Source organism: Homo sapiens, chromosome 19 (assembly GCF_000001405.40).
Source record: "Homo sapiens chromosome 19, GRCh38.p14 Primary Assembly".
NCBI lineage: Eukaryota > Metazoa > Chordata > Mammalia > Primates > Hominidae > Homo > Homo sapiens.
The window spans coordinates 57,524,254-57,541,484 of record NC_000019.10 but is presented as its reverse complement, the minus strand read 5'-3'; the positions used below and the strand labels follow the sequence as shown (position 1 = coordinate 57,541,484).

Sequence of the window (17,231 nt, the reverse complement as noted above, 5' to 3'; positions counted from 1 at the left end):
CTTTTAAAAAATAAAATGATCTTGTAAAGATAATTGGAATTTGGCAAAATAACAAAAATTAAGTATGCGTAAGGGATGGCGAAGCAAAATTAAGAACTCTTTCAATGTGTTAAGGTCAGAATAACAGCAGAGAAATACTGTAGGCTGACAGAAATTCTAATATTGCAAATAATTTACAAAATAAATACCTTATGTAATATCAGTTGAATAACAATCTTTCCAAAGTTCCTATAATTACACAATTTTTTTTTTTCGAGATGGGAGTCCTGCTCTGTCGCCCAGGCTGGAGTGTAGTGGCGCAATCTTGGCTCACTGCAGCCTCCGCCTCCTGGGTTCAAGCAGTCCTCCCACCTAGGCCTCCCAAGTAGCTAGCTAGGACTACAGGCGCCCACCACCATGCCCAGCTAATTTTTGTATTTTTAGTAGAATGGGGTTTTGCCATGTTGGCCAGGCTGGTCTCAAACTCCTGACCTCAGGTGATCCGGCCCACCTTGGCTTCCCAAAGTGCTGGGATTATGGGCGTGAGCCACCGTGCCCAGCCAAGGAATAAAATTTTTTTAATAGCACCAAAATAACAGTAAATGAACAAACAGACAAATTAGACTTCATCAAAATTAAGAACATTTCATTTGGAAGACTGAATGAAATAAGGTGAATGAAAACACACAAAATAGAATATATACACACGTATTTCTTATCTGTTCTTTTTGTTTTTGTTTTTGTTTTTTGAGAAGTGTCACTCTGTCGCCCAGGCTGGAGTGCAATGGCGCGACCTTGGCTCATTGCAACCTCCGCCCCCCAGGTTCAAGCAATTCTCCTGCCTCAGCCTCCTGTGTAGCTGGGATTACAAATGCACGCCACCACGCCTGGCTAATTTTTGTATTTTAAGTAGAGACTGGATTTCACCATGTTGGTCAGGCTGGTCTCAAACTCCTGACCTCAGGTGATCCACCTGCCTTGGCCTCCCAAAGTGCTGGGATTACAGGCATGAGCCACCGCACCCAGCCTATACACACATATTTCTAAGACAAGACACTTACTGAGATAACATGACTATCAAAACCCATTAACTGGGCAATAAACCATACAGACAGTTCTTAAAAAGATAGAAGGTTTTGTGTATGAAAACTGCACCTCAATGTTTTAAGATAAATGGTTCCACACAAAAATATGCATCTACCTCTCCTTTTGGAAAACCAGACTATAGGATAACACAAGATTTACTTATTATTAAGGATTCATCTCCTCACAAGTTAGGAAGGACAGCCTTCTCAGCAGTGGCAATAAACGGGAAGTAATAAAGATAATTCCTAACTGGCACAACAGATCTGGGTGAATCACAAAAACCACATATCTGGAAGGCAAGGTGTATGTTCTCTCAAATCCTGCTTTCCTGCCCGTGCAGCAATCATCTCAAAAACAGTACATAAGTTATGAGTCCACAAAATCTTTAGATGCCTTATGCTGACGATGTGTGTTGCTAAAGGAGAATCAAAGGTCTGAGGTCCTGAGAATTTCTATATACCCCCAAACCATGAAGCCATAGTAACACAGACATATCTGGATGCACCTTTGGATGGGACACATTCACTCTTCTTGGCCACAATCTTTTCTACTCTGTTTATCACACCTACCTGTCTGGGCCAATTACTGTTCTTACCTGGCCCCAGTAGGTCTTACAACCAGTGACCTACCTACCAATTCAGTCCTTCAGTGCCCATGGCTACAATGAAGGACCTGGGAAATAAGATACCATGAACAGTGCTGGGAAATATGAAGCATCACTGCAAATAAACAATTCATGCAGGTCCCAGCACTTGAGTTTGTCACAAATGCCTCTTCTCAGGGAGACCTCTGGACCTACAAATAAATCTGGCATCGACACCATGATTAGGACCACACAGCTCTGCTCTCCTTCCTAGGAGACCTTGGAAACCAATAAAAATTAAGACAAACAGGACTAAGAACTATTTTCCGATCTCATACTATGTCCCTGGGGGGACATAAAGTTGGAGCTGTTCACCCTTCACACTGGCAGAGCACATACATCAGCACATGGTAAGACAGCCCATTTCCCTCTTGGGTAATGTGGGAGAGGGAATATCCCACTATGGCAATCACATAAAAAAAAAAAAAACCTATGAAGAAGGTAAACCTCCATGGGCTACAAGAATCCAGATTGCTCTTCTTGGTCAAAGTTGGGTTTTGTCTTTGCCTCGAACAGTTCAGCAAGATGGAAGAGGACCCTCAACAGGCTTTTATTATATTATTCCCTTCAGAATTTGGTAAGCACAGTGGTCTGCATTCCTTGAGCACATGTGAGTGACTGATGAAAACGGTGAGGATATGCCACATGGTAGTGTCTGTTGTAACACTGGGCAGATTAGAAAGTACAAGTAATCTCTAGAAAGCTTCCCAAGTACTTGGACCTTGTAGTGAATCTTTCAACTAGTGATATGCAGATGTATGAGGGTGAATTTCTGTCTGTTGGATCCCTTGAAAAATCAGCTCTCTGGTGTCCTACAGTGAATAAGACAATTACACATCCCAACAATTGCTAGGGCTCTTCTGTTATATGTACCTTCTGGTGCCTGACAAGGGAATATCTTTTGTTGAAGGCTTTCCCACATTTACCACATTCATACGGCTTTTCTCCGGTGTGGATTCGCTGATGCTCAACAAGTTTGTTTTTATAGATAAAGGCCTTCTCACATGCAGTGCAGTTATAAGGCCTCTCTCCACTGTGAACTTTCTGGTGTTGAATGAGGCTGGTGCGGTGTCTAAAGCATTTCCCACATTCACTGCACTCACAGGGCTTTTCGCCAGTGTGAACTTTCTGGTGCTCAAGAAGTCTTTTTTGGTGGCTGAAGACTTTTCCACATTCATTGCACTCACAAAGTTGTTCTCTAGTATGGATTCTTTGGTGCTGAAGAAGTTTAACCTCAAGGTAGAAGCCTTTTCCACATTCACTGCATTCATAAGGCCTTTCTCTAGTGTGGATTTTGTGATGCTTAAGAAGTGTTTGTTTGGAGATGAAGGCTTTCCCACAGTCACTGCATTCATAAGCCCTTTCTCCAGTGTGAATTCTCTGGTGTCGCATGTAGTCAGACGAGCGGATAAATGATTTCCCACATATGATGCACACATAAGGCTTTTCTCCAGTATGAATTCTCTGGTGCTCAAGAAGTCTTTTTTTGTGAATGAAGGCCTTCCCACATTCTTTGCACTCATAAGGCCTTTCTCCCGTGTGGATTCTATGGTGATCAAGAAGTGACTGTTTGTATATGAAGGATTTCCCACATTCACTGCACTGATAAGCCCCTTCTCCAGTGTGAACTCTCTGGTGTCGAATGCGGTCATAGGAATGAATAAAAGATTTCCCACATTCCATACACACATAAGGCCTCTCTCCAGTGTGGATTCTCTGCTGATGGCCAACAAATGTTTGTTTGTGGCGGAATGATTTCCCACATACATTGCACACATAAGGCTTTTCTCCATTATGGGTTCTCTGGTGTTCCACAAGTGAGTATTTGGAGCTCAAGGATTTCCCACATTCGATGCACACATAAGACCTTTCTCTAGTGTGAATTCTCTGCTGGTGCCCAACGAGTGTTTGTTTATGGAGGAATGATTTCCCACATATATTGCACACATAAGGCTTTTCTGCATTATGGGTTCTCTGGTGTTCAACAAATAAGTATTTAGAGTTCAAGGATTTCCCATATTCCCTACGCTTATAAGCTTTTTCTCCAGTGTGGACTCTCTGATGCTCAGTAACATGAACTTTCTCATTGAAAACTTGCTCACATTTGTAACGTCTTTGTTGAAAGGTCTCCCTGCTTCTATGTGCATACTCTTGTCTGCTGTGGGTGGTCTGGTGTTGGAGAAGGCCCAGGATGGTTGGAAAATCCTTCTCAACATCTTTGCATGGGAAAAGATTGTCTGACAGAGGAATTTTGCAGCTATTCAGAAGCAAGGCACTGCTCTCCTCCTTTCTGATGTGTTTCTCTCCACTGTCCTGGTTCTGGTGCTGTTGCAGGTTAGAACCAAATGAAAACCATTTCCCACTGGCCACAGACGTATAAGGTTTCTGCCAGGGAAGTGTCCCCTGATGCTCACTGAGGTACAAAATGTCTTTCATGACCAGGATACACATCTCACAAGAATGAGCATTTGGGATGGAAGGACCTAGCTTTGGAGTCCTGGCCTGTGACACTCCTTGCGCAGAAAGAGTCTGCTCAGAAGGGGCCTCCTCAGCCTCTATTCCATGCAAACAACCTAAAAGCATAAAAATGCAAGTGAAGTATATGCAGACTTTGGTAGAAGGGAACAGCTCCATTACAAATACCTGTGGAACACAGGGAGGGACGAGTCCATGGTTTTTCTTTGAGATAGGGTCTTGCTCTGTCACCCAGATGGGAGTGCAGTTGCAGTCATATCTCACTGCAGCCTTGACCTTCCAAGCTCCAGTGACACTCCCATCTCAGCCTCCCAAGTAGCTAGGACTACAGGCATATACCACCATACCTGGCTAATTTTTTTTTAGAATTTCTTGTGGAGATACAGGTCTCATTATGTTGTCGAGGCTGGTCTCAAATTCCTTAGCTCAAGTGATCCTCCCACCTCAGCTTCCCCAAGTGCTAGGATTATAGGCACGAGCCATTGCACCCAGGCCATGGGTTTGTTTTCAGGACAAGGGAGCTGGAGTCAGGTCAAGGAAGATAATACTTGCAGTATTAGGCCTCTTAAGGTTACCATGTAGGGGAAGACCCATAACCAGCAAGAGAACAAGGAATGGGGTACTATGGTGGGAAGAGAGGCAGGGGGCATACAACTCCCTTCTCTGTCAATGGTTTTCAATAGGACGTCATCTGATGGAGACAGGGGAGACCTGCATAGAATGTGTGTCACCCCAGGAAAATGCAATTACAACTGGATAGCTGATGTTTGAGAGCTTAAGTAGACAGTCTTTGATTTATAATGGTTGAACTTATGATTTTTCCACTTTATGATGATACGAAAGTGACACATTCAGTAGAAACCATACTTTGAATTTTGAACTTTTCCCAGGCTAGTGATACGCAGTGTGTATACTCTTGTGATGCAGTGGTAGCAAGCTGCAGCTCTCAGTAAGCCATGCAATCACCAGGCTAAACAACTGACACTCTACTGTGTTGCTAAGCTAGGATGTCTAATAAGTTGGGTGTATTAAATGCATTTCTGACTTACGATATTCTCAACTTACAATGGGTTTATCAGGATATAACCCCATCACGAGCTGAGGAACATCTGTATCTGCACAGCTCATAATATTAAATACATTAGGTATAGGCTAATGTTGGAGAACACTGCAGAACAGGAACAGGAGAGATGTGGAGAACAGAGGTAGGGGACAATCACAGTAGAAACGACAAGTAGGCAAATTGTCAAGCAGGCAGAGAAAAGAGAAAAATGAGGTATGGCCATGAGCCCTGGCACCAAAATAGTGGGGAACATAGGACATTTGCCTGGTATGATTTGAGTTCAGCCCTCAAATCATGCCCTCCCACTGCTCCTACTCACAGGTCCCAAACCCTGTTAACCCCCCTTGCTGTGGCTGAAGACTTCACTACGCTTTCAGGAACACAGGCCTCTCCCCTGTCCCCAGCTTAAGTCAGGAGACTATCTGGGTCCTGGAAGGTAGAAGAAATCCTAAGGGAAAAACAGGGAGGTGGGTCAACAACACTGGCCCAGGGTGCGCCAACCCATGACAGACTACAGGAGGGAAATTTATTACAAAAAAACCCTTGGGAGGGGGTCTTGCTGTCATAGTCTAGGGTTCCCTACAAATAGCAACCATGTAAGTACCTGTAATTCCTGAGAAAGGCAGGTCCAAAGACACGTCTACTAAAGGCAGGGGGAGAACCTGTAACACAGGTCCACCACAGAACTGAACAGTCACCTTAGCAAGGAGTGGCAAAACCAAGTGGTGTCGGTTGGGCAAGTTACAAGAGTCTGAACCCAAACTCTTAACTAAAAGGCTTCAGGACAGTAGATGTTGGGGCAGAAAAAACCCAGGCCTGGCAACCACAACGCCTATGTCTTCCACAGGTCAAGAACCAAGGAAAGAAGAAGGGCCCATGTCCAACTCTGGGAAAGACAGGAAACTCCTGGAAAAAGGGGAAGAGCAGAGTCCAGCAGAGGTTGATGGTGTGGTTTTAAGAGATCTTACCTACTGAGGCCATAAGCGAAAAGTTCTCCAGCATCACATCATGATACAGGCACCTTTGAGCTTCATCAAGGAGGCCCCACTCCTCCTGGGAGAAGTACACAGCAATATCCTCAAAGGTCACATGGCCCTGCATGATGGGGGCAGATGAAATCATGAGCAGACTCAATCCCCAGGAACCCCAGTAAATCTCGCTCCTCCCTAGTTCTCCAACTCAGAGGAGATACCAGGTCCTTATGGTGTCTCCCACTGGGCTCTGGGCCTTACATCATGGAATCTCATCCATGCTCCTGCTAGTTCACCTCCCTGGAGACCCAGATACTGAAACCTGTGCTTACCATCTTGGTTTAAAGTGCCAGTACGAGGATCCTGAGTACAGCCATACTCCCTCCCCGGTTGCACACCATTCATGGGAACACATCTCCAGATCGTGACTGCTACACCTTGAACTCCACTGCCCTCAGCATCCATGACACAGGTACTTCACCTGGCTTCTCCACATGCCACTCTGCTCAAGGGATCCAGGCAGCGCTTGCTAAATGCAACAAGGATCCAGCACCACCTCACATCTTTGTTAGACCCAAGTCAGAGGCAGTCTCAGGACTGTTATGAAGACGTCCCCATGTGGCCTGGCTCTTTGTTCCAATTTCAGCCACTCAGACCTTGTGTGAGCTCAGGCTGCCAAAGTCCACTTCCTCCTTAGTGTTGCCTGTGCTGTCCCCACACCAGTCATATCTTTCCTCTCTCCACCTATACTCAGTCAAAGCTTGGCCCCCAGCTGCTCCCACCACAGGCTGAATGACTCTCCCAGTCAATCTCATTTGCTTTTAACCTAATCTGTCACACCGTCTGAAACTACTTAGGCCCTACCAAGAGTTACCAACAAAAGTCTGAGCCAGCAAAAGGGAGGAAAAGCACCAGCCCTGACCTTGGTGTTATTTGACCTCCATTACTGCTTTGCCTCTGAATGAATCTCTTAACATTCCCCATTTAAAGACTGTGCCAACAGCTGGACACCCGTTTCATCCTACCCCCACACACCCATGGTTACTACTCTTCTTTATCTGTCTTAGTGATGGTTCCCACTTCTATCTAGGTGACCATGCAAGAGACCCAGTCATTAGAGAATACTCTCTACATCCTTCCTCACTGATGGGACTGCCACTATGACCTGAAGAGTGTTCCTCTTAAATCTGCCATGGTCCACAGGCCAGCCACTGGCTGACGGATAGCTTTCACTTGGATCCCTTCCCTGAACTCCACGTGTCTGTCTCTTGCTGTGCACCTAACACCACCACCAAGAAGTCCCAACATGAGACTCCACATTGTGAAGGCCTAACTCCTGGACTTTGGTTTCTATTCTGCATGTAAGGAGCTTGGAAGTGGCCACTCTATCACAATAGCAAGTAAAGAGTTAAACAGACTGAAAAATGGACAATTCTAGGATCCACACAGGAAAGATAAGGGCACAGCACACACTGCTGCCCACAAGATTGGAGAGACAAACGAGGGCATACAGGAGAATCAAGGCTCACAGGAGCAGAAACTCATGAAAGGAAACCATCATGCAAACCAGTGCTAGGTTAGGAAAACCCAATCTATAATGCATAAATTGCTGGAAGGTCTGTGTGGACAATTCTGTGAGCTGAAAATTCAGGAGGCACTCTGATAGGGGGCCCCCACAATCTTGCAATATTTACCTCCAGAAACTTAACCAAGTTCTCATGGTGAATACTGGAAAAAAAAAAATCCCCTTGTGCTTCCAGCAGAGAGGGGAAAATGAATCATTTTAAAATATGCCATAGCAATGTGTTCCTCTAAACAAAGCCTGCCCTTGGGAGACAACAGTTAATCAGAGCCTAACCTGCAGAGGTATTATCAGAGCCTAATCTATCTGGGGGAAGGGAAATAACCAACTACAACCCACTCTAGTATTCCTCTTCCACATAATGGGAGAGAAAAAGCATAATAAACACAATTTAGAAACACATGTGAATTTCAGTCAAGAGGAACAGGCTCACTAAAACACTGAGACCTAACTGTGGGACTTAAAATGCTTCCCCTGCCCGCTGACACACCTCACCACCACATTATTAAAGGCCTATTTACAGCAATTCCTTTTACTGAGCTCATCATGTGTAGCTATCAAGAAAACATCACAGGCACTTTGGGAGGCCAAGGCGGGTGGATCACCTGAGGTCAGGAGTTCGAGATCAGCCTGGCCAATGTGCAGAAACCCTGTCTCTACTAAAAATACAAAAATTAGTTGGGCGTGGTGGCGGGCGCCTGTAATCCCAGCCACTCGGGAGGTTGAGGCAGTTTCCAAAAAGATACAAGAATCCTTAGCACATACATGCCTGACCACAGAGCATCAAACTATATGAGGCAAAAACTGACAGATCTTCAAGGAGAAACAGATCAATCCACCATCATAATTGAAGTCTTCCACACTCTTTTCTGTTACTGACAGATACAGTAGGCAGAAAACCACTAAACTTAACTGAATTCAACAACACCATCAATCAACTGGACATAATCACCATCTTTAGATTACTTTGTCCAACAAGAACAGAATACATGCTGTTCTCAAGCTCACACGGAATATTCAACAAGACAGACCACATTCTGGGCCTGTTTTATATATCTTTAAAACTTCCTATTTTCCTGATGCTTCAACATCCCCAATACATTATGAGCAACCCACCCCGGTGACCAGGTCCCCAGCATGCTAAGACTGGTCCCTGTCACAACCTCCCCTTCTTTTCATCCTTTGACTGTGACTGAATGACATTCAAACACAGTAGGAAAGGCACCTGCCCACAGGTCCTTGCTCTCCCTCTTGGCTCCCTGCCTGCTTGGTTGAGTCCACTCCCTGAGAGCTATTTCCATATGGCTCCATGCATGGTTTGCTGTGCCACCCTCTATGAGGACCTATGAATATAATAAATCCTTTATGCTTCTCAGAGTTTCATTTCCACGGCAGTGTTGGAATGATCCTAGAGACCCCACGAAGGGCATTTACTCCCCAGTTTACAATACACAGTTATAAAACACATCTTAATAAATTTACTAGAAATAATACAAGGTCTGCTCTGCAATCACAATGGAATTCAACTAGAAAGCAGTAATGGAAAGAGAGCTGGCAAATCCCAAAATACCTGGGAGATGTAAACAAGACAACGCATGGAACAAAGAAGAAATACTCAAGATAAATTTAAAAATATTTTGAACTAAATGAAATGAAAACACAACTTAGAATTTGTGAGATGCAGTCGAAGCGGTGCTTAGAATAAAATGTATAGCACTGAATACATATACAGTCGTCCCCGATCTTAGCCACAATTTTGTTTTCCATGGTTTCACTTACTACTGGTTAACTGTGGTCTGAAAATATTACATGGATAATTCCAGAAATAAACAACCCAAAAATTATAAATGACGTGCTTCTCTGAGTAGTGTGATAAAATCTTACACTGTCCCACGCTGTTCTGCCCAAGACGTGAATCATCCGTTTGTCCAATAGATCCATGATGAATACACTACCTGCCTGTTAATCACTATGTGGCCATCTTGGTTATCATATCAACTGTCTCATTATCACAGTGCTTGTGTTCAAGTAACGCTTATTTTACTTAATACCCCCAAAGCACAAGAGCGATAATACCAGCCATTCAGATATGTAAAAGACAACCTGTGAAGTACTTCCTTTAAGTGAAAAGGTGAGAGTTCTTAACAAGAAAAAAAATATTGTACTCTGAGTTTGCTAAGATCTACGAAAAGGACAAATCATGTATCTGTGAGATTGTAAAGAAGGAAAAAGAAACTCATGTTAGTTCTGTCACAGCTCAAACTGCAAAAGTTTTGGCCACAGTGCACAGACTTGCAGTTCCCTATATATGCCCATATCATTCTCATCTCTAAGCATTTGGACATGCTGGCGCCTATGCCCAGGAAACCTTTCATCACTTCATCCTATTGGATGCAGAAATGGGAACATCTCTGTATAACTCCTGACCCTGATTAATCATCCTGGGCCTGAGGTGGCCCCAGGGACCCAAGATGAAGGAAAAAGAGTCCCAGGACATTATTGTTACCTGCATCTGTGGGCCAGACCCATGGCTTTAGGGAACAGGGCCAGTGAAGACCTGGGACTTCTTCCACTTACCTGTGATGGTTTCACAAACTCTTCTGTTACCATGGGAATCTGTAGGAAGAGGGAGGCTATGAAATACAGGTGTTCAAGGTGGCATTTACAAAGGGTAAGTTGCTCTTGCCAACTGTGTGACACTAGACAAAGACCTAACCTCTCTGAGGTTGCCTTCATCTGTAAAATGGAAACACTTAATGGTGGCTATCTCGTAGTGCCATCGTAGGCATCAAACTCATTCATACGTGTCCAATGCTAAGATTTAGCTAGTACTGACTATTGCATTAAGATTTCTGTAAACATTTTTTAAAACTCTGGTGTTTCTTACTTGCCATTTAAGTCTTTATGTGAATGTGGTATCTTTTCAAATTATGAGAGGCTTCTGTGCTTCTTTGATAATAAATATGTAGTGTCTTTTCCCACACCATTCTCTGATTCTGATACCAACTAGGTGTCCTACAATTCAATCCTATTCTAACACTAACTACCTGGAGTTGCAGCTAAACCAACAGGTTTAAGGGCTCAGTCGTACAAAACTGCCCTCACTTCATATGGCAATTGCAAGCCAATGTCCAGACCACTGTAATTTTCTCCACTTGGCTACACATTTGGGGGCTGCCATGACCTCTCTCCTTACGTTCAATAATTTGCTAGAACCACTTACAGAACTCAGGAAAATATTTTACTTATGTTTACCAGTTTATGATAATGGATGTAACTCAGGAACAGCCAAATGGAAGCGATGCATATGGCAAGGTACTGGGAGAGGGGGTAAGGCAGAGTACTTCCACGCTCTCTTACGTCACTCTCCCAGCACTTCCAAGTGTTCACAACCTTGAAGCTTCTAGAACTCATTGTTCAAGATTTTATATAACCTAATCTCCAGATCTCTGCTCCCCTCCCTGGATGCCAGAGGTGGGGCTCAAAGTTCAAATTCTATAATCACTTGATTTTTCTGGTGACTGACTCCACTCTGAGGCTATCTAGAGACTCCACCTTGTCTGCTCACCCTAAGCCATCTCATAAAACTCAAGTATAGAAGTCTTCCCTTATCAGCTGTTTTGCTATTTGCAGTTTCAGTTACCCACACTCAACTTCAGTGTGAAAATTATAAGTATTAAATTTCAACTTCAGTCTGAAAATAGTAATATTAAAATTCCAGAAATAAACAATTCATGTTTTAAATAGTGCACCATCCTTTATTTATTTATTTATTTATTTATTTTATTTATTTATTTTTGGAGACGGAGCCTCGCTCTGTCGCCCAGGCTGGAGTGTAGTGGTGCAATCTCGGCTCACTGCAAGCTCTGCCTCCCAGCTTCACACCATTCTCCTGCCTCAGCCTCCGGAGTAGCTGGGACTACGGGCGCCCACTACCACACCTGGCTAATTTTTTGTATTTTTAGTAGAGACGGGGTTTCACCATGTTAGCCAGGATGGTCTCGATCTCCTGACCTTGTGATCTGCCTGCCTCAGCCTCCCAAAGTGCTGGGATTACAGGTGTGAGCCACTGCGCTGGCCAACAGTGCACCATTGTAAGTAGTGTGAGGAAATCTCACTCTATCGAGTTTAGTCCCTTCTTCATCACAAGGGTGAATAGTACAGTAAGATATTTAGAGAGATACCACATTCACATGTTTTTTATAATTTAACTTTTGCTTTTTTATTGTCTCAACTGCAGTTACTTAACTTTTATTAACTTATAAAGTATAACTGTTCTATATTATTTCCAGTTATTATTGTTCATCTCCTATACTGCCTCATTTATAAACTGGATTTTATTACAGGTATGTAGTCTAGGAAGAAACATAGTATATATAGGTTGGGTACTATCTGCAGTTTCAAGCCTCCGCTGGGGTTCTTGAAAGGTATCCTCTGAGGATAAGGGGGAACTACTGTTCAGACATTCATTGTTCAACTACTAAATGGTATAGCCTATTGCTCCTAGGCTACAAACCTGTACAGCAAGTTACTATACTAAATACTGTCAGCAACTGTAACACAGTGATAATTATTTGTGCATTTAAACATTTATAAACTTAGAAAATGCAGTTTGCCTCCTGATCAGAAAGAAAGAAAATGAAAAGGTACAGTAAAAATATGGTATCATAATCTTATGGGACCACCGTCACTGATGTGGTCAACACTGTTGTTATGCGGTCCATGACTTATCACAAGACACTTTTCACTGAGGAAATTACAACGATTTTAGGAATTCTGTGCCAGGAAAGCATGACAAAAAACAAACATTTATTTTTTATTAGAGCACAGAGTTATAGTGACATTTTATTCGGTTAACTAATTGCTTGCATAAATTTAATTTGTTAAATCTATACAGTCTAAACTTGTATTTTCCTGGGAGAGCTGCTCTTGCTGGGCTTGGGCTTCTCTGCTAGTCTGGCTGACCTTTCTCTGGCTCCACATAGAGTGAACAGTTCGCCAAGTCTTCTGAATGGTGACTCTACACAGTGTCCCACCCTCAAATCCATCCTATGCAGTGTGTATTCCTTACACATTCCCTTTGGAAGTACCCCCGGAACCCCATGGCCCTCCTATCTGCAGGCAGCTTCGCCAAGGCCGACCCACACTTTCCCAGCCTCCAGCCTCAGCCCTCCCTCTCTTCATCTCAAAGTAAAACCTTAAGATTTCCCGTCTAAATTTAAGGCTTGGCTTGAGTCTACGCCCCAGCCTGTCTCCATTTACACATCACTGAGTCAGTCCCCTCCCATGAATTTTCTACTTATGATTCCAACTGCCCATGTAACAACTTCACTCTGTGGCAATTTAGAAACACCACGTCCAAAATTCAACTCCTACTATTTCCCTGAAACCTGCTCCCTCACCAGATTTCTTTGTCAACTCTTCCAGATGTTCAGGTAAAAGAAAAACTTGGGATCATACTTCACTCCCACTTTTGCTCATAGGCACAAATGATGGAGCAGAAAATCCTGCTGGCTTTACCTTTAAGATCTACCAAGATTCTTATTACTTAGGTCCCTTCAGCAACCCGTCTGGTCCAGAATCCACCATAATCCTCCTGGAGCCTACTACAGCAGTCTCCTCACCAGTATCCCTGCGTCCACCCCCATCACTCCGTAACAGTCTGTTTTCTCCACTCATTGCCTTTGAAATATTTTTTCAGACCCTCACTCAGATCGTGTTCTCCTTTAGTTCACAACCCTCCATGGCTCCCAAAGACTCAGAATTAAAAACCCCGGTTGCTCAGGCTGCCATGGCAGCCGTGCCTTCTTCTCCTCATTCTCTCTGCTCCCTGCAGACACAGGTCCGCCCCCAAGTTTCCGAATGCTCGCGACCCCGGCGCACCTCCCAGGCTCTGCGCGTGCAGCCCCCACGGTACGCAACGCTCTCCCTTCTTCACCTCACCGCCCGTCAGCTCTGAGGACCCCACCCAGAACTCCTCGCTGTCCTGGAGAAGAGGCCTGAACTGCAGAGACCCACGCAGGTGACCCCAGTCCGGGGCCTCAGGACCCAGGTGAGGATCCGAGGACTCCGCTCTCACCTGCGGCGTAATCACTAGCGCTGCCTCGGCCATGGGACTTTAGGCGGGGCGGGGCCTGGAAAGGCGGGCGGTAAAGCCCGGGATCCGGCGTGCGTGCGGTGGCAAATCGCTGGGCGACGCTCAGACCGAGACCAGGCAAGCTCCTCTGCGGGCGGACACCACCTCCACCGGTTTCCGGCTCCAGTTACCTGGCCCGGACCCAGCGAGCCGGAAACGCCCAGCCCGCGGACGCGCTCGCAGGCAGCAAAAACGACCACCACCGGAAAGACGCCGGAAGATTCTGGCGTATTGCGCACTTACGGAGGTGCCCCTTTCCTGGGCAATGATTGGTCTAAGGCCCCGGCACGCTCGGCGCACAGTATTCTGGGTGGTGTAGTTCCTACCACGCCGCAGTCCGCCGCGCTGTGAGGACTCAATCCAAGAAAGAGAGGACAAAGGAAAAAACCCATCAAACTAGGGTCAGCAAAGCCTATTACATACACAGGATAAAAGAATACGATTTGATCTTCATTTCTCAACACAAAAGTTGACATATATTGCATACAATACATTAAAAATGTTGACAATTGAGAATTGACGCGACCCTTAATTTTTTTCTTTTTTTTAATGTAGAAACTATAACCAAAAATAAAATTCAAAGGCCTCCCAACTATCTGAATGGACCCCCTCCTCTCAGCATTATAGAGTTAACCTGAAAATCTAGTTCAGGCCATTATGGAAGAAGGGGTTGGACATGCCTCATTCTACCCCTACAGCAATAACATCAGCATAGACCTTAAGTCTGATAAGAAACATTTACAATCTATTTCTCTGAAACTTGCTACCTGCAGGCTTCATCTGTATGATAAAACCTGGGTCTCCAACCAAGGTGATCACTAACAGTGGGGTCAGCATCCCCTTATCCCACACGTTTGTGTTTATTCTGTTTTTTTGCCCTCAAGTGTTAGTGACTTAAATTACATAATGTATCTATTATCATAAGTGGAACTGAAATGAGATTGCAGAAACATTATATCTTCTTTTTCTTTTCTTTTTTTCCTTTTTTTTTTTTGACAGAGTCTCACTCTGTCGCCCAGACTGGAGTACAGTGGTGCAATCTCTGCTCACTGTAACCTCCACCTCCCAGGTTCAAGCGATTCTCCTGCCTCAGCCTCCCGAGTAGCCGGGACTACAGGCATGCGCCACCACCCCCGGATAATTTTTGTATTTTTAGTAGAGACAGGGTTTCACCATGTTGGCCAGGCTGGTCTAGAACCGGCCTCAAGTGATTCGCCTGCCTTAAAGTGCTGGGATTACAAGCATGAGCCACCATGCCTGGCTTTTTTCCCCCATATTTAGCAATTAGCTTTTGTTGCTATCCATTGTCTTCATTTCTCTTTAGTTTTTAATTGTTTATAATTTTGACATTTTATAATTACTTAAGAAAGGTTAGAAAAATTACCATTTAGATTGGAGTCATATTAAATAAGACACCTATATTGTAAAAATATCTTTATGAATGTAATCTTTGGCTATAGTGTTGTAACCGAGCGAGTTATAGAGAAATGCCACACTCTGAGACTAATTCTGGAGTCCTTTTATTGCCAGCGACCGAGAGACAGCTAGAGCTCAAAATTCTTGGCCCCGAAGAAGGGGCTAGATTTCTTTTTATACCTTGATCTAAATAGGGGAGGGGGAGTTTAGCTGAAGCAATTTTTACAGAAGCAGAACAGGCAAAAAGTTAAAAGATAAATGGTTACACAAACATTTACAGGAAAATAAACAGTTCCAGGTGCAGGGGCTTAATTATCACAAAGTGATAAACGCAGGGGCTTTGGGTACCATTAACTGAGTGCGTTCCTAGGAGCTGCTGGTACAGCGTGCCTCAGTGTCTATCAGTAAGTGCATTCCTGGATGTGCTTGGAGTCAGCTTGCACTAGTTATGTCCTTAAGGGAGGGGGATAAGGGGGCTGCAAGTGAAGAAACAAAAATGGAGTCTGTTTGGCTCTCTCAGCTGAGAGAGACAATCAGGTTAAAACAAGGTAGGGCATCACAATCGTTTGTCTCCACTATTATTTATTTCTGATCCTTTTATTTTTTTATTATTTTTTTTTTTTGAGATGGAGTTTCGCCCTTGTTGCCCAGGCTGGAGTGCAATGGCACGATCTCGGCTCACTGCAACCTCCACCTCCCAGGTTCAAGCGATTCTCCTGCCTCAGCCTCCCTAGTAGCTGGGATTACAGGCATGTGCCACCACGCCCAGCTAATTTTGTATTTTTAGTAGAGACGGGATTTCTCCATGCTGGTCAGGCTGGTCTCGAACTCCCGACCTCAGGTGATCGGCCCACCTCAGCCTCCCAAAATGCTGGGATTACAGGCAAGAGCCGCTGCACCCGGCCATGATCCTCTTATTTTAAGAGTTTTACGGGTCGGGCGTGGTGGCTCACGCCTGTAATCCCAGCACTTTGGGAGGCCGAGGCAGGCGGATCACCTGAGGTCAGGAGTTCGAGACAGCCTGACCAAAATGGTGAAACCCCGTCTCTACTAAAAATACAAAAAATTAGCCGGGCGTGGTGGTGGCGCCTGTAGTCCCAGCTACTCGGGAGGCTGAGGCAGGAGAATGGCATGAACCCAGGAGGCAGAGCTTGCAGTGAGCAGAAATCGTGCCACTGCACTCCAGCCTGGGCGACAGAGCAAGACGCCGTCTCAAAAAAAAAACAAAAACAAAAACAAAACAAAACAAACGCAAAAAAATTTAGCCGGGCGTGGTCGCGGGCTCCTGTAGTCCCAGCTACTCAGGAGGCTGAGGCAGGAGAATGGTGTGAACCCAGGAGGCGGAGCTTGCAGTGAGCCGAGACCGTGCCACTGCATTCCAGCCTGGGCGACAGAGCGAGACTCCGCCTCAGAAGTAAATATATACATAAACGAATGAATAAATCTTACTTCATTCAAACTTTGTCACATTTTTTCTTATTTGTGTTTTTCTAAAAGTTCACATATTCTCTAAATATCTCTTTCATTTATTTTTAAAGAGTAATCTGCAAAGCATTATTATCCTTCATATTACTTTAATTTGCACCAGCTTTAAAGTGAACAATCAGGTAGGTACTTTACGTATTGACTGTTTAAAATATAAATGAATATCTGCATTAAATATGATTTAGTGGAATATTGATATTGACTTATTTTATTATATTGACCTTTCTGCTATTTTTAAACAACTTTCTTGAAGTATTGGTTGATATTCTAGAAGAAATTCCATCTCTTTTAGTTAGCTTGCAATATTTAGTTTTGAATTTCAGAAAGCTACGCAAAGAATCCATAATACGGAAAATATTGCTTCCTTCTTTACATGTGTTTATATAGTTATCAGA

General features: G+C 44.2%; 1 protein-coding gene across 3 annotated transcripts; it reads right to left on the bottom strand.

The window, feature by feature from the left end:
* Positions 1 to 608: 608 nt before the first annotated feature.
* On the bottom strand, positions 609 to 14,129 carry ZNF549 (zinc finger protein 549). Of its 3 annotated transcripts, NM_001199295.2 has the most exons (4): positions 13,879 to 14,129; positions 10,377 to 10,415; positions 6,215 to 6,341; positions 609 to 4,281 (listed from the first exon to the last, which is right to left on the bottom strand). In NM_001199295.2, the coding sequence occupies exons 1-4, from the start codon at positions 13,909 to 13,911 to the stop codon at positions 2,558 to 2,560; spliced, it is 1,923 nt and encodes a 640-aa protein (NP_001186224.2). In that variant the 5' UTR covers positions 13,912 to 14,129; the 3' UTR covers positions 609 to 2,557. The 3 variants fall into 3 exon arrangements, with proteins under 3 accessions (NP_001186224.2, NP_694995.3, XP_047294519.1); NM_153263.3 differs by lacking the exon at positions 10,377 to 10,415; XM_047438563.1 differs by lacking the exon at positions 13,879 to 14,129 and having other exon boundaries at positions 10,377 to 13,875.
* Between the last annotated feature and the right edge of the window lie 3,102 nt (positions 14,130 to 17,231).